A 17509-nucleotide genomic window follows, 5' to 3' on the forward strand; every position below is an offset into this window, starting at 1 on the left:
GCTAATACTATTCCACTGTTCTGTATATTTCTCCATAGCATTTATTGTTATCTTAAATTCATCTTTATTGTGTATCTCCCCTCGACAGAACCTGAATCCTACCAGGGACTTAGTTAGTCTTATTTACTGTTGCATTCCTAGTGCCCAGAACACAGTAGGCTCCCAATAAATAGCCACTGAATAAAAGTTAAAACCAACAAAAATAATCATTTAATTAATTATGAATACATCGAATTGTGCACAATAGTTTATAAAATTACTTTTTTTTTTTTTTTAAGACAGGGTCTCATTCTGTCTCACAGGCTGGAGTGCAGTGGTGCAATCTAGGCTCACTGCAACCTCCGCCTCCCGGGTTCAAGTGATTCTCCTGCCTCAGCCTCCCCAGCAGCTAGGATTACAGGCACATGCCACCACGCTCGACTAATTTTTTTGTGTTTTTAGTAGAGACAAGGTTTCACCATGTTGACCAGGCTGGTCTCGAACTCCTGACCTCAAGTGATCCACCTGCCTTGGCCACTCAAAGTGCTGGGATTATAGGCATGAGCCACCACGCCTGGCCTATAAAATTACTTTCACATTTCATTTTGCCTGATCTGTTGTCACAGAAGTTCTCAGATGGCTGTTCTGAAATTATTCCTCCTCCTACACTCTATCTTATTTACTTCTCACTGTTCTCAGTATCATAAAGTGCAACATCTTTTTGAAGCAATCTGAATTATAAACAGATACATTTGCATGTATATATATGTATATATGCATATGCACACACACACTTTTTTTTTTTTAAGAGACAGGGTCTTGCTCTGTGCAAGTGCAAGAGTGCAATGGTATGATCATAGCTCACTGCAGCCTTGAACTCCTGGGCTCAAGTGATTCTTCTGGCTTAGCTTCCTCAGTAGCTAAGACTACAGAAGCACACTGCCATGCCCGGCTAATTAAAAAAAAATTTTGTGGAGACAGAGTCTCACTATGTTGCCCAGGCTGGTTTCAAACTCCTGGCCTCAAGTAATCTTCCTGTCTCAGCCTCCCAAAGGGCTGAGATTATAAGTGTGAGCCACTGCATCTGGACTGCATATTAATATGAAGAGCTTTTCTTCAACAACAGTGAACAGTTTTCTACAAAGGTATATGCAAGTGGGCCCACTTCTTGTTCTTATGAATCTTTTCTTTCCTTTTATAAAACTCCTTTTCCTTTCTCTTTTCCCCAAAGAAAGGACTGTTTCTTTTGAAATCTAGAACAAATGAGAACAGAGGATATCCTGGTTTGCGCTGCAAAATTTTTTTTTTTTTTAAGACGGAGTCTCGCTCTGTTGCCAGGTTGGAGTGCAGTGGCACGATCTTGGCTCATTGCAACCTCCACCTCCCGGGTTCAAGAGATTCTCCTGCCTCAGCCTCCTGAGTAGCTGGAACTAAAGGCGCATGCCACCACGCTGAGTAATTTTTTGTATTTTAGTAGAGACAGGGTTTCACCATGTTGCCCAGGCTGATCTCGAACTCCTGAGCTCAGGCAATCTGCCTGTCTTGGCCTCCCACAGTGTTAGGATTACAGGCATGAGCCACTGCACCCGATTTTTTTTTTCTTTTGATGGAGTTTTGCTCTTGTTGCCCAGGTTAGAGTGCAATGATGCGATCTCAGCTCACTGCAACCCCCGCCTCCCAGGTTCAAGTGATTCTCCTGCCTCAGCCTCCCGAGTAGCTGGAATTACAGGCAAGTGCCACCAAGCCCGGCTAATTTTGTATTTTTAGTAGAAACGGGGTTTCTCCATGTTGGTCAGGCTGGTCTTGAACTCCCGACATCAGGTGATCCAAGCGCCTCAGCCTCCCAAAGCGCTGGGATTATAGGTATGAGCCACAGTGCAGGCCTGCATAATTCTTGATGATCCTCATTATCATGGAAAATTTGTGCATTGTTAAGGAAAGTGGTGCATTGATGGAAGGAAGCAAATACATTTTTAACTATATGACTGAATGAATATCTCTGGTTAGTTTGTAACATCAAGTACTTACCTCATTCAGCATTTTTCTTTCTTTAATAGACTGGGTCACCCCTAAAGAGATCATAGAAAAGACAGGTTACATACAGCAGAAGAACGTGCTCTTTTCACGGAGATAGAGAGGTCAGCGATTCACAAAAGAGCACAGGAAGAATGACAGAGGAGAGGTCCTTCCCTCTAAAGCCACAGCCCTTTAATAAGGCTTGTAGCAGCAGTTTCCTTCTGGAGACAGAGTTGATGTTTAATTTAAACATTATAAGTTTGCCTGCTGCACATGGATTCCTGCCGACTATTAAATAAATCCCTAGCTCATATGCTAACATTGCTAGGAGCAGATTAGGTCCTATTAGTTATAAAAGAGACCCATTTTCCCAGCATCACCAGCTTATCTGAACAAAGTGATATTAAAGATAAAAGTAGTTTAGTATTACAATTAAAGACCTTTTGGTAACTCAGACTCAGCATCAGCAAAAACCTTAGGTGTTAAACGTTAGGTGTAAAAATGCAATTCTGAGGTGTTAAAGGGAGGAGGGGAGAAATAGTATTATACTTACAGAAATAGCTAACTACCCATTTTCCTCCCGCAATTCCTAGAAAATATTTCAGTGTCCGTTCACACACAAACTCAGCATCTGCAGAATGAAAAACACTCAAAGGATTAGAAGTTGAAAACAAAATCAGGAAGTGCTGTCCTAAGAAGCTAAAGAGCCTCAGTTTTTTACACTCCCAAGATCAATCTGGATTTATGATTCTAAAACCCCTGGTGACAGAATCAGAGGCTGAAAACACCACTAATTATAACCAGCAGGTATGGATATTTGGAAGTCTAGGGGAGGCTGATATGAAGTTAAGACCAGAGGAAATATCTGTCCACTCCCTCTTCTCAACACCCATCTTCTAGACGCCAAGGCTAGCTATAGATCTCCATTATAGTGTTCAAGGAATTAGGAATTATCCATGTCAATAGTTTTGATTAATGTGGACGGAGAACATCTATATTACTAGATGGCAATATGTGAAAGAAGAAAACAGTATTGTTGAAAACCTAAATCTGAAATGTCAATGTAATGACAAATTTTCACCCCTAGAATGTCTACCTGGGGAGTCCTAACCCTCTAATATTCCCCTGAGAGGGATGGGAGAATACAGTGCAGAGCTTTTATATAAGTATTTCAGAAAGCAGTAGCTAAAGAATCACTTGTTTATTTCCCAGTGTTTCAAAGGCCCTTCTGAAGAACTAAGCAAACTAAGGAAAGACCATTTAGTTTTAAACAGGAGAAATGTATTTAACTAAATCCTAAACACAGCAGGCTATCTGCAAGCAGCAGCAGCAGCAGCAGCCATGCTCCCTCACAGAATCCTTACAATTTTTGAAGTTTTTTGTTTAACTGCTACAAAAGCCGATTTAGTAACATTTATTACACTTAAAAACTTCAGTTCATTTGTAGTTCAAAGCAAATGTATTGGCTTTGAGTTTAAAGACTGAACTACTTTAGATTTGATTTGCATTTTTTTTTTTTTTTTTTTTTGAGATGCAGTCTTGCTCTGTCAGCCAGGCTGGAGTGCAGTGGCTGGATCTCAGCTCACGGCAAGCTCTGCCTCCTGGGTTCATGCCATTCTCCTGCCTCAGCCTCCTGAGTAGCTGGGACTACAGATGCCCGCCACCATGCCCGGCTAATTTTTTGTATTTTTACTAGAGATGGGGTTTCACCGTGTTAGCCAGGATGGTCTCGATCTCCTGACCTCGTGATCTGCCCGCCTTGGCCCCCCAAAGCGCTGGGATTACAGGCCTGAGCCACCACGCTTGGCATCTTTTTACCTTTCATTAACTTTGATGCAAACCTATAGCTTAAGGTATCTTAAACTTTAATGACATTTTTCTCTAAAATAGTAGTTTGTAATAACTTGTTCTGGCACCTGGCTCCAATGAACACTACCCTCTGACCCTGTGGTATAATTTTCATGAGTAAGTGGAAACCTAAGATCTTAGAAGTTCAACGGCAATGTGTCCAAGGGGTTTAGATCCTCTCCTTAAGTGCCTGTATCTCTGTGAAAAGAATCATCATAGGCTAGGCGCGATGGCTCACACCTGTAATCCCAGCACTTTGGGAGGCCGAGGTAGGTGGATCACCTGAGGTCGGGAGTCCAAGACCAGCCTGACTGACATGGAAAAACCCTGTCTCTACTAAAAATACAAAATTAGGTATGGTGGTGCATTCCTGTAATCCCAGCTACTCGGGAGGCTGAGGCAGGAGAATCGCTTGAACCCGGGAGGGGGAGGTTGCAGCAAGCCAAGATCGTGCCATTGCACTCCAGCAGCCTGGGCAACAAGAGTGAAAAACTACACCTCAAAAACAAAAACAAAAACAAAAGAATCATCATCAAGTGAACTGGAACACATCCAGAGAACTAATTTTGTTAGAAAGATTTTAGAGTTGAGCCACACAATCTGCATCTTCTGCGTCCTCCATGCACTCGTCTGCTTTCTGGAGCCCCATGAGTGAGTCTTAATCCTGTTCCAGATAACAGTTCTCTTCCGGGTAACGGTTCTTCAGATACTTGAAGACAGTGTCTTATTTCCTTAAATCTTCTCATTTCTTCTTCAAAAGACAGTATTTCAAGTTACTTTTATGTATCTTTACCATCTACCTCTGGATAAACACTCTCCAATTTGTCAGTGACCATGTTAAAAACCAAGCACGGTGCTTAAAACTGACATCATCTTTCAGGCAATCACTCCATTGGAGAATACAGTGGGGCTCTGGATCTGTACTTCACTTGCTCCAGAGCCTCTGCTTGTGTTAATACGGCCCAGTTTCAAATAAGCATTTTTAGCAGCCCTGAAATGTGTACTCAGATTTAGTTTATAGTCAACTAAAAACACCCAGAGGTCTCCTGTATTACACAAGTTATAATTAAAACCTTAAAAGAGAAAGGTATAGGACAAATGATCTGTCTCCTCCCTTTTTTGCTTTTTCATATGTTAAGACTATCTCGGAGCTGTTATCAGACTTTTTTCCTGAAAAACTCTCAACAATACTCAAACTAGGTGTTACATGAAGCTGGGGTCTCCAGGTTTTGCCTCACTTGTTCTTTCTTTTGTTGTTGTTGAGACAGAGTCTCACTCTGTCGCCAGGCTGGAGTGCAGTGGCAGGATCTCAGCTGACTGCAACCTCAGCCTCCAGAGTTCAAGCAATTCTTCTGTGTCAGCCTCCCAAGTAGCTGGGATTACAGGTGCACACCACCACGCCCAGCCAATTTATGTATTTTTAGTAGAGACTGGGTTTTACCATATTGGCCAGGCTGGTCTCGAACTCCTGACCTTGTGATCTGCCCGCCTCAGGCTCCCAAAGTGCTGGGATTACTGATGCGAGCCACCGCGTCCAGCTGCCTCACTTGTTGTTTTAGGACTTAGGCTCCACCTCACCAGTGTAGTCCCAGCAGGTAGATAGGAGTTAATAGTTGACTATCTCAGCTCACCACCCTCCAAACCTTTTTTTTTTTTTTTTTTTTTTGAGACAAGAATCTCGCTCTTGTCCCCAGGCTGGAGTGCAATGGTGCGATCTTGGGTCACTGCAACCTCCACCTCCTGGGTTCAAGCGATTCTGCTGCCTCAGCCTCCTGAGTAGCTGGGATTACAGGTGCCTGCCACCACGCCCACCTAATTTTTATATTTTTAGTAGAGACGGGGTTTCAACACGTTGGCCAGGCTGGTCTCGAACTCCTGACCTCAGGTGATCCACCCGCCTCGGCCTCCCAAAGTGCTGAGATTACAGGTGTGAGCCACCGTGCCTGGCCCACACTCCAAATCTTAACCCAAAACAAAAGGAGGTAAGGAAGCAGCAAAACTATTATTTGTCTTTCATAAAGTAATTGATTGACTATTAGAAGACTATCATCCATGCTATGCTCAACAAATATTCTTATTTTTTCACGTTTTTTTTTTTTTTTTTTGAGACGGAGCCTTGCTCTGTCGCCAGGCTGGAATGCAGTGGCATGATCTCGGCTCACTGCAACCTCCATCTCCCCGGTTCAAGTGATTCTCCTGCCTCAGCCTCACGAGTAGCTGGGACTACAGGCGCACGCGACCACACCCAGCTAATTTTTTTATTTTTTAGTAGAGACGGGGTTTCACCATGCTGGCCAGGATGGTCTCGATCTCCTAATCTCGTGATCTGCCCGCCTCGGCCTCCCAAAGTGCTGCGATTACAGGCATGCGCCACCGTGCCTCGCCTCATGTGGTTTTATGCAGCAGATGCAAGGTATTCTGTAAAGGTTCTTGGTATACCTGTTTTCATAACAACATGAGTAGTCTCTTCAGTAATTAGATTAGTTAAAGTGATGTGGTGTTTTCTGGCAAACTTGTACACGAGCATCTGAAATTAAATCAAATATTCCATTATCATGAGTTACCTCTAGCACACAGCTCAGAATACTAGTTATTCCACCATGGCATATGTTTACCTATGTAGCAATCCTGCACGTTCTACACGTGTCCTGGAACTATTTAAAGTGAATTTTTTTTTTTTTTTTTTTAGACAGAGTCTTGCTCTGTCACCCAGGCTGGAGGTAAAAAAAAAAAAAAAAAAAAAATAGAATACCAGTTATCCTAGCTTTAAGTCTCTGTTTTTCTCAGAAAGGGTACATTTAAAAAATTCTAAGACACCTGAAGTCTCGGCTGGGCGCGGTGGCTCACGCCTGTAATCTCAGCACTTTGGGAGGCTGAGGCGGGCAGATCACAAGGTCAGGAGATCGAGACCATCCTGGCTAACACGGTGAAACCCTGTCTCTACTAAAAATACAAAAAATTAGCCAGGCGTGGTGGCGGGCACCTGTAGTCTCAGCTACTCAGGAGGCTGAGGCAGGAGAATGGCGTGAACCCAGGAAGCAGAGCTTGCAGTAAGCCGAGATGGCGCCACTGCACTCTAGCCTGGGCGAGAGTGCGAGACTCCGTCTCAAAAAAAAAAAAAAGATACCTGAAGTCTCAAATAAATAGTTTAATAAAAATTATGTACACATCAGCAGACATAAAATTACAACTAAGGATTCAAAATAATATTATAAACCTACTACGTACCACAAAACTTAAAACTTAAAAAATATATACTGGGCCAGACACGGCAGCTCATGCCTATAATCCCAGCACTTTGGGAAGCTGAGGTGGGAGGACTGCTTGAGCTCAAGAGTCTGAGACCAAGACCAGCCTGGGCAATACAGTGAGATTTCATGTCTTTAAAAAAAAAAAAAAGTAAAAAGAAAAAATATATATTAATTTTGCTTTAATAGCAGATATCATTCGATTCCCTAAGATCGTTTCTTTGCATAGTGACACTCTACTGTACTATAAATTTATCAGCCTACACTTTATAAGCTGAGAGGTAACTAGCCTACACAGAAAGTTATGCTACAGATATACATGGCTTAAAACCAAGACTCAACCCTCTGATAGTTACAAAACACTGAAATCAGGATGTTACTAAAGGTCAGTGCAAAAGCGATCAATTCTCTCGTAAGAAGGCTTAGAAGGGGTTCATGTTCTTCCCCAAAGAAATTTAGAGTCCTCTAGCTATTATCTATCAACCAAATAAAAATCAATAGGCAGCAAAAGAAATTAACCAGATCAATTATGGGCACAGTTGACCTAGCTGGTAGGTATTGTCTGATAAATAACTTTGTTTACCAAGGGCCATCATTTACTAGCCATAGCCACAGCCACTCACACCAGTATTTACGTGTTGCACAATACTGCCATGAAGGTCAGGCCATCTTTCTTTCATGTTGCCTCACTCCATACTGCCACAGGGCACTGAAAAAAGGCAGGCTAGAGAAGCTAATGACATCCTCCCCCTTTTGCTACCACCCTCCGCCAGGATCATTAGCAATTCTGAACTGATTAATTGCTGAAATCCCAGCCTTGAAACTGTTCAGTTAGAAGAGCAATGCTGAACTGCTGAAAAGATCATCTTAATATGGGCTTCAGAATTAATCATGTGTAATACAGTCAGTAGCTTTCATCATAAATTTACCACACTTCACCAAGTCTGAATAGAGCTCAAAGTTTTCCTCTTCGCTTGTTTAAAGACAACATGTACCCAAGCCACTTGTAGTCTAATCTGCAGCTCAGAATTGCCTTTGCCAAGAAAGATTAGACCATTTTAGCCATCTCTAAAAAGCTGAACTTGCAAAACAAAGGGATAAAGAACGCTAATTTTCAATGAATAAATAAGGAATTCTGGACGTGCAGGCAAGTGATCAAGAGCCATTGAAACAGACACAGGTAAGAGCTTTCAGAGCAAATTGCTGGTCTGGACATGGGATTATGAGATGAAAACATTTATAGCCATCACTGTGCACTTACTCATTGTATCTACCAGGGCAGCCACAGCTTACTTTGCCCTTTTAGTAGTGGGATACATCTGGCCACAGAGATGTTATGCTAAGTAACTACCTATGGAGAAGTTAGGATGAAAAATCCTAGGAAGGATATATTAATAAAGATATTTCAGAATGACTTGGTCATCTCTCAGTGTGCAATAAATGGCACACCCACTACTGAATCCATTTGATAATCTGGTATGTTATCTCATCATAGTTTTAAAGAAATATTCACGCAATTCTTCTTCTTATTATTGAGACAGAGTTTCGCTCTTGTTGCCCAGGCTGGAGTGCAATGGTGCAATCTCGGCTCACCGCAACCTCCGCCTCCCGGGTTCAAGCAATTCTCCTGCCTCAGCCTCCTGAGTAGCTGGGATTATAGGCATGCGCCACCACGCCCGGCTAATTGTGTATTTTTAGTAAAGATGGGGTTTCTTCATGTTGGTCAGGCTGGTCTTGATCTCCTGACCTTAGGTGATCTGACCACCTCAGCCTCCCAAAGTGCTGGGATTACAGGCTTGAGCCACCATGCCCGGCCATGCAATTATTTTTATTATGAAGTGATGACAATGACAATTAATTACAGGGGTGGTAAACTTCTCAGGATGTCTGAAATCCACAAATAGCCCAAGCAGAAACGAGGTTTTACTGGTCTTAATATTTTAATGGGTATTTTTCCACAGTATGAAGCAATTCCCATTTCTGGCATTAAGGACCCAAGGTGATGCCAAAATCCTAATAGCAAGGGATATTGCAGGGCAGAAGTGGCAGGGCATTCTTACAAGCCAGGATGAAAACAAACACTAGAGAAATGCTACTATCTGGCAGTACATTTGGAACCAGTCTGAATTTAGTTAAATATGCTGGTAAATTCACCCATGTGAGACAAGGGGGAGAAAAAGATGCCTTCTGGGGAATAAAACTATACCTACTTGCTTTTACAGATAGAAAGGAAAATTCCAATTCGAAAGTCCTATATCATACCCAAAGTATAGCTTTTCCACTAATATTTAATAATTATTTTCTCAAGTAAATATACATAAAATAATCCACACTATAGCTTTATCTAGATCTAAATTTTCAGAAATTAGTAATCGAAATTAAATTACACAGAACTGTGATTGTTTTCTAGATTTCTTCCTCTAGGTTATTAATTGACAATACCTACATAAAACTCTTTCCAGAATGTTGTTAAGTCTTAGTCATTAGGGAGATACATATGGATACACTCACAAATTCTTCTGGGGTCAGGCCAGACACCACCATGGACATTCTTTTGTTGACCCTTTCTGTTGAAGCTGTCAATTCTGGCTTCTCCCTGCTCACACTTTCTTCCATTGCATTATACCCAGCAGTATCAGTAGTATGAGCAGCAGCTGGACTCTGGGCAGATTCTGCAACTTTCAATTGGGGAACTTTCAATGCAGAGGTTGAAGATGGTATGTTGCCAACACGAGCTGACTCTGGGGCTCTGTCTTCAGAAGGATCAGATTCAGGGTCATCAGAGAAGAGGCTGATTCCAGATTCCAGGTAAGGGGTTCCCTCTGAAAGGAATGGGAGAAGTTTAATTTACACAACGATGAATGTTGAATTACAAAGTTCTGGTCTCTGTTAAGAATTAAAAAGACCAATAAAGTTAGGTTAAGAGAAAAATGGGTACATGAATACAGTGTTGGTGGAAATCCAAAGTAGCTTAGTTTCCTAAAAAGGAAATATGGCATTATGTAGCAAACACCTTAACACGTATTTACACTTTCAGTCAACAATGCTAGTTTTAGAAATATATCCTAGGGAGATAAAAGATATATGCAAAGGTTTAGTCATAGGAATAGTATAATTTTAGAAACAATGTAGTTGTCCAATAATAGGAGATTAAATTACGATATACCTAGTCCAATGGAGTACTCTTCACCCATTAATTTGAATATAAATGTTGATGTACAATAAAACAGAAATGTTACTAATATATTAAAGACACCTAAGCAATATTATTTATCATGACATTATTTTAAAAATAAAAGTTTATGGGCCGAGCACGGTGGCTCACACCTGTAATCCCAGCACTTTGGGAGGCCGAGACGGGTGGATCACGAGGTCAGGAGATCAAGACCATCCTGGCTAACACAGTGAAACCCTGTCTCTACTGAAAATACAAAAAAAAAAATTAGCTGGGCGTGGTGGCGGGCGCCTGTAGTCCCGGCTACTAGGGAGGCTGAGGCAGGGGAATGGCGTGTACCCGGGAGGCAGAGCTTGCAGTGAGCTGAGATTGAGCCATTGCATTCCAGCCTGGGCAACAGAGCGAGACTCCGTCTCAAAAAAATAAATAAATAAAAATAAATAAATAAATAAAAGTTTATGTAAAATGACTAAAGAAACACAGAAATATTTTATTATTAAAGAATAAGAGTACAGGCCGGGTGCGGTGGCTCAGGCCTGTAATCCCAGCACTTTGGGAGGCCAAGGTGGGCGGATCACCTGAGGTCAAGAGGTCGAGACCAGTCTGACCAACATGGAGAAACCCTGTCTCTACTAAAAATACAAAAAATTAGCCGGGCGTGGTGGTGCATGCCTGTAATCCCAGCTACTGGGGAGGCTGAAGCAGGAGAATCGCTCGAACCCAGGAGGCGGAGGTTGCGCTGAGCCGAGATTGCGCCATTGCACTCCAGCCTGGGCAACAAGAGTGAAACTCCGTCTCAAAAAAGAGTACGGGTAATATTTTTTTTTTTGAGAAGGGTCTCGGTCTGTCATCCAGGCTGCAGTGCAGTGGCACAAACATGGCTCACCTGCAGCCTTGACCTCCTGGACTCAAGTGATCTTCCTGTCTCAGCCTCCTGAGTAGCTGGGACCACAGGTGTTTGCCACCTTCCAGCTGATTTTTTTTTTTTTTGAGATGGAGTTTCATTCTTGTTGCCCAGGCTAGAGTGCAATGGCGCGATCTCAGCTCACTGAAACCTCTGCCTCCCAGGTTCAAGCGATTCTCCTGCCTCAGCCTCCCGAGTAGCTGGGACTACAGGCATAAGCCACCAAGCCTGGCTAATTTTGTATTTTTAGTAGAGACAGGGTTTCTCCATATTGGTCAGGTTGGTCCTGAACTCCTGCCCTCAGGTGATCTGCCCGCCTCGGCCTCCCAAAGTGCTGGGATTACAGGCGTAAGCCACCCACCACGCCTGGCCCCAGCTAGTTTTTTTTTTTTTTTACTTTTTATAGAGATCAGGTCTCGCTACATTGCCCAGGCTGGTCTTGAACTCTTGGCCTCGAGCAATTCTCCCACCTTGGCCTCCCAAAGTACTGAGATTACAGGCATGAGCAGTGGCTGTAATCTGTCCTTATTTTATCTTTTAAGAGGTGGCATCTCAGCTTGGTGAAGTGGCTCACACCTATAATCCCAGCACTTTGGGAGGCCAAGGTAGGAAGATTGCATGAGGCCAGGAGTTAGAGACCAGCCTCGGCAACATAACAAGACCCGTGTCTAACCCCACCCCAAATTATCTTTTTTATTCCCTATATTGTCCAATTTGGGGGCAATGAGCTTATAGCAATTTTGTAAGAAAGGAAAAAAAAGTTGAAAAATGTGGCAAATGCTTTATTTTTGTTTCTTCATCCAAGGTAATGACACCATTACTTTTTTCACTTAATAAATCAGCAGATATCATTACCAAATTAAAAACAGCAGAGATGTCATCCTTGAAACATTTCAGAAAATGCCATGGTATCAGGAATTAAGCATAGCTAAGTAGAATGTATGAGATTCCTAAAATGACCCTAATGAACATGGCCAAATACCACATTTGATGCCAAACAGTGTCTTTTATGATAACGTGTTTTTGAGGATTAAAAACTTTCTTTACTGATTAAAACTCTGATTTACAAGCCATAAAACACCATTCATTAAAAGTGATTTTTAAGGCATAAAATATGTAGTCATTTATATTCATTAACTCATAAAAAAAACTTGCTTTGGGATTTGACTCATTTTCTAATAAAGGACTGGCCTAAAACTTTATTCTTTGGCCTTTGGACTCTTGTCTAACAGTTGAAATAAAATATATGTGTGTATATATATATATATATATTTTTTGAGATGGAGTCTTGCTCTGTCACCCAGACTGGAGTGCAGTGGTGTGATCTTGGCTCACCGCAACCTCCGCCTCCCGGGTTCAAGTGATTCTGCTGCCTCAGCCTCCAGAGTAGCTAGGATTACGGGCATGCACTAGCACACCCAGTTAATTTTTTTGTATTTTTAGTAGAGACAGGGTTTCACCATGTTGGCCAGACAGGTCTTGAACTCCTGACCTCAGCTGATCCACCTGCCTCGGCCTCCTGGAGTACTGGGATTACAGGCGTGAGCCACTATGCCTGGCCTGAAATAATACATTTAGAGTACACCAAGACTCCCTCATCCTCAAAATCATTAGTTAAACCATTAATTAAAATATAGATGGATTAACAGTTTCAATAATTTTCAAGTAAACCTTGATTAACACTTGAGCTATTTTTCTAAAGTGGGCTTAATTAAGTATAACAAAAGTGTCCATGATAGACTAGTACATCTAAAAGTTGGTTAACCAGAATATCTTTATGTAGGATTCAGAGTAAAATCAAAGTGTTTGTTCCAATACAGCAGATGAAATATTACCTAGATCTTGCCTTGGCAAGTAAGATGTTTCCGTCAAATCGTGTGGCCCAGACTCTTCCAGCTGTTGCTCCTCCACATCAACAACCTTAATGAGCTCCTCTTGAGATGGGTAGTTTCTATTCTGAAGACTCCCAGAGCAACTGTGCATGTACCACCTATCATCTAATGATGGGCATTTAGAAGGGGATGACCTAGAAAGATAAATGGAAGGAGAAAACCATCGCCACCAATTGTGAAAGGACAAATCATACTTGCTGGGCAGCCAAAGCATAAATGAAACAGCTCATGTCAGAGAGATCAGAAATGACTGGCAAAAAAGAGCCCGCAAGACAGCCTAGAAGTCTGGATTCATGTTGCCTGCCAATATGTCAGGGTTGACATATAACATGGGGTTGGGTTGGTCTGAGGCACCATATCTCCCAGCTGTTTAAAAGCAGGTCAGTAGCTGGGTGTGGTGGCTGGCGCCTGTAATCTCAGCTACTCGGGAGGCTGAGGCAGGAAAATTGCTTGAACCTGGGAGACAGAGGTTGCAGTGAGCCGAGATCACGCCACTGCACTCCAGCCTGAGTGACAGAGCAAGACTCTGTCAAGAAAGAAAGGAAAGGAAAGAAAGGAAAGAAAAGGAAAGGAAAGAAAGAAAAGAAAAGGAAGGGAGGAAGGAAAGAAAGGAAGAAAGGAAAGAAAGGAAAGAAAGAAGGAAAGAAGGAAGGAAGGGAGGGAAAGGAAAGGAAAGGACGGAAGGAAGGAAGGAAGGAAAGGAAGAAAGAAAGGAGGAAAGAATAAAAGCAGGTCAGCAAATTTTTACCAAATTACTCACTGCCACTCACTCTATACACAATATTCTACTTGAGTCTAAATGGATATGTTAGAATCAGATCTCTTATGAAGATAGAAAGTTGATCAATGTCGACATCTCTACACTCATTCTTTCTACTCAGTTTTAGCAGAATTCACAGAATCATCCCTATTGCCTGCCTTTTCAATGTTCAAATTCATTCTAAAAACAAAAGCCAGCTATAAAATATTGTTAGAAAAGCATACACACCCAGTAAATAGTTCCTCTGCTCTTCCAAGTGCTTAGGACTTTGCAAAATAAGATACTTATCAACAGATTTAAAGGGCCTCAGAGGTTAATTAATTTAAACAATTATTGGGTGCTTACTATGGGTCAAATACTAAGGCTAGGCCCCCTGGATTGAAGATGGGTGAGACCTGAATTACTGCTCTCTCTCTCTTTTTTTTTTTGTTTTGAGACGGAGTCTTGCTCTGTCGCCCAGGCTGGAGTGCAATGGCACGGTCCCAGCTCACTGCAACCTCTGCCTCCCAGGTTCAAGCAATTCTCCTGCCTCAGCCTCCTGAGTAGCTGGGATTACAGGCACCTGCCACCACGCCTGGCCCTCCAGTAAGGAAAAGAATAGTACTGGACTACATAGTCCAGTACTGGACTGCTATACAGCCCTGTGTTAATAGTGGTGTAAATACACATCTCTGAAAGATATTCTAAATGTTTTCTGGCTTTGGGAGGGCAAGGCGGGCGGACTACTTGAGTCCAGGAATTTGAGACCAGCCTGGGCAACAAGGTAAAACTCCATCTCTACCAAAAATACAAAAACTTAGTGGGTGTGGGTGGCGCATGCTTGTGGACCCAGCTACTCAGGAGGCTAAGGTGGGAGGATTGCTTGAGCCTGAAAAACGGAGGATGCAGTGAGCCATGACTGCACCACTGCAATCTAGGTGACACAGGGCGACCCTGTCTCAAAAAATAATAATAATAGTAATTATTATTATTATTTTCTGTGGTAAATCAACAGCTAGACTTTTTCTAGAAAGACAAGAATTTTAATTAGGGCAAGGGCTGCCTTGAAGAAGTCTACCATCAGTTTCCAAGCTTGTTCAGGTTTTACCTCCATTATATTTTTTTCTGACCTTCAGAAGGGACATATCTATCTAACCGCACATTTCTCATGTTGTAGCTTATGTTATAGGTTCAAAAAACCTATATAGGATTAAACAAAAGAAGTATCCTAGAGCAATAAAAGTGTATAAATGCCTGTATGCAAAAAACTGGAGAAAGTATGGTGAAAAAAATTAACAATCAGAGTTCAATATAAATAAAGATGTCAGATACCACAGCATCTTTACATTGATGTTTCTTACCTTTCCACTCCTGGTTCTTTATTTTTACTGGTAGAACTATCTGCAGACACCTCAAACTTGTCAGCAGAAAGGCCTTCTGGATTCTGGCTTATAGGGTATTCACTACTTTTCTGTGAAGTTAATACTGCTTTAAATGGAATGAGAAAACAAATCTACTTTACTGCTTTGTTCTGATAGTGATAATTCAGGTTAGAATACTGATTTTTTTCAAAAGCATCAATCTATGATACACAAATTGGTTTTTAAACAAGTATATCAGGCAGAATTTTATAAACACAAGCAATGCAACAGACAGATGCTAGCACCAAATGGAATTCAATGATTAAAAAATAATAATGATAATAAAAGGAACACTTTAAGACAGAGTAAATAAAGACACCCAGCTGAGACAAGGCTGAAAAAAAAAATCTATATTCCTTGGCCCTGAATGATAAAAAATATATATAACAAATTTTTATCTCTGCAGCAAAATAAATTATGCCCAAATCCCCTCAGACAATAGGAAAGAAAGAGTACCGGAGAGCACAAAGTACATTATTTTCTCCATCCCTACTGCCTCCACATTGAAGACTGTATGAAATGGGGATTTCAGCTTCTGCATGTCGGGGGTAAACAAGACATGAGTGTCAGACATGAAAGAAAAAACAGGTGACATTTTGCTTCACATTTTCAATTACCGAAAAAAAAGAAAAAAACAAATAAACCCCCTAAACCAACACATACACAAAAAAATCCCAAGGTGCTGGTTGATAAGAAATCTTAAATAATACATGGAACTAATGATGAAATGGCACAAGAAGGGAAAAATCACAAAACATACTGAAGGCAAAGTTCTGGCATGTTAGTTCTTTTTTTTTTTTTGAGACGGAGTCTCACTCTGTTGCCCAAGCTGAAGTGCAATGGTGCAATCTTGGCTCACTGCAACCTCCACCTCCTGGGTTCAAGCGATTCTCCTGCCTCAGCCTTCCTAGTAGCTGACATTACAGGTGCCTGCCACCACGCCCAGCTAGTTTTTTTGGTATTTTTAGTAGAGATGGGATTTTACCCTGTTGATCAGGCTAGTCTCGAACTCCTGACCTCAAGTGATCCACCCGCCTTGGCCTCCCAAAGTGCGGGGATTACAGACATGAGCCACTGCGCCCAGCCTAATTCATTTTGTAATATATTTACTCCTCCAAATGTATCACTTTGTGCCACTGCCTTCTAGGAAGTGGCTTAAAGGCAGAAGTACTTATTTATTTATTTTTATTTATTTATTTTTTTTGAGATGGAGTTTGCTCTTGTTGCCCAGGCTGCAGTGCAATGGCATGATCTTGGCTCACCACAACCTCTCTGCCTCCCAGGTTCAAGCTGTTCTCCTGCCTCAGCCTCCCAAGTAGTTGGGATTACAGGTATGCACCACCTCGCCCAACTAATTTTGTATTTTTAGTAGAGATGGGGTTTCTCCATGTTGGTCACGCTGGTCTCGAACTCCCGACCTCAGGTGATCTGCCTGCCTCGGCCTCCCAAAGTGATGGGATTACAGGCGTGAGCCACTGCGCCCGACCGTTATTTTTCAACGAGATGGGTGTCTTGCTGTGTTGACCAGGCTGGTTTCAAACTTTTTTTTTTTTTTGAGACAGAGTCTTGCTCTGTTACCCAGGCTGGAATACAGTGGCATGATCTCGGCTCACTGCAACCTCTGCCTCCAGGTTCAAGCGATTCTCCTGCCTTAGCCTCCCAAGAAGATGGGATTATAGGTGCCCACCACCACCCCTTGGCTAATTTTTGTATTTTTTGTAGAGATGGGGTTTTACCATGTTGGCCAGGCTGGTCTTAAACTCCTGACCTCAGGTGATCCGCCAACCTTGGCCTCACAAAGTGCTGGGATTATAGGCATGAGCCACCATACCCAGCCTGGTCTAGAACTCTTAAACTCAAGTGATCCTCCTGCCTTGGCATCTCACAGTGCTGGGATTATAGGCGTGAGCCACCATGCCTGGCCAAGGCGGAAATATTTAATAAGTAAAAACAAATAGTTAAAAATTGCAAAAGTCTTCTATTCATTAAAAAGTCACTGATGACTGTAATTCATTTTGAGCTTTTATTAGAAAAGCTAAAAGCCATAAATATAGGTAGAAAATTGAAACAAAAGATTGTATTAATTAAACTGTTTTTTTAAGACACTGGGTAGCCTGGGGGGAAATAATCATTGATTTCCTGAGTTAGTCTTCAAATGCATTATTTATAGTTTCCTTTATGCTTGTCTTTTCTGGACCTGTGAGTTTCTAGGATTGTTAAGAACTCTGTTGAAAGTAAGTAGGATCTAACTATGAAGAGAGGTATCATCCTCCCCACCCCCAATACA

General features: G+C 41.9%; 1 protein-coding gene across 368 annotated transcripts in view, besides 2 other annotated features; it reads right to left on the reverse strand.

Moving 5' to 3' along the window:
• The window catches only part of BRCA1 (BRCA1 DNA repair associated), a 126033-nt gene that overhangs the window by 17031 nt on the left and 91493 nt on the right, over positions 1-17509 (reverse strand). For 229 of the 368 annotated variants that reach the window (NM_001407959.1, NM_001407931.1, NM_001407747.1 and 226 more), the window contains 6 exons: positions 15163-15289; positions 13006-13196; positions 9603-9913; positions 6283-6370; positions 2549-2626; positions 2008-2048 (listed from right to left, as the gene is read on the reverse strand). In NM_001407959.1, coding sequence (NP_001394888.1) covers positions 2008-2048; positions 2549-2626; positions 6283-6370; positions 9603-9913; positions 13006-13196; positions 15163-15289 — 836 coding nt within the window. The remainder of the gene's footprint in view (positions 1-2007; positions 2049-2548; positions 2627-6282; positions 6371-9602; positions 9914-13005; positions 13197-15162; positions 15290-17509) is intronic. The other 139 variants (NM_001408458.1, NM_001407967.1, NM_001407839.1 and 136 more) reach the window with 5 other exon arrangements.
• Positions 1654-2189: an enhancer, noted in NCBI's record as "OCT4-NANOG hESC enhancer chr17:41214996-41215531 (GRCh37/hg19 assembly coordinates)". NCBI's record gives its function as "activates a minimal SCP1, AML or CMV promoter by ChIP-STARR-seq in primed H9 embryonic stem cells {active_cell/tissue: H9 hESC(primed)}" and the evidence as "EXISTENCE:reporter gene assay evidence [ECO:0000049][PMID:30033119]".
• Positions 10713-10918: a silencer, noted in NCBI's record as "fragment chr17:41224055-41224260 (GRCh37/hg19 assembly coordinates)". NCBI's record gives its function as "represses an EF-1alpha promoter that drives an FKBP-Casp9 reporter gene in an ReSE screen in K562 erythroleukemia cells {active_cell/tissue: K562}" and the evidence as "EXISTENCE:reporter gene assay evidence [ECO:0000049][PMID:32094911]".

This window comes from Homo sapiens, chromosome 17 (genome assembly GCF_000001405.40).
Source record: "Homo sapiens chromosome 17, GRCh38.p14 Primary Assembly".
NCBI lineage: Eukaryota > Metazoa > Chordata > Mammalia > Primates > Hominidae > Homo > Homo sapiens.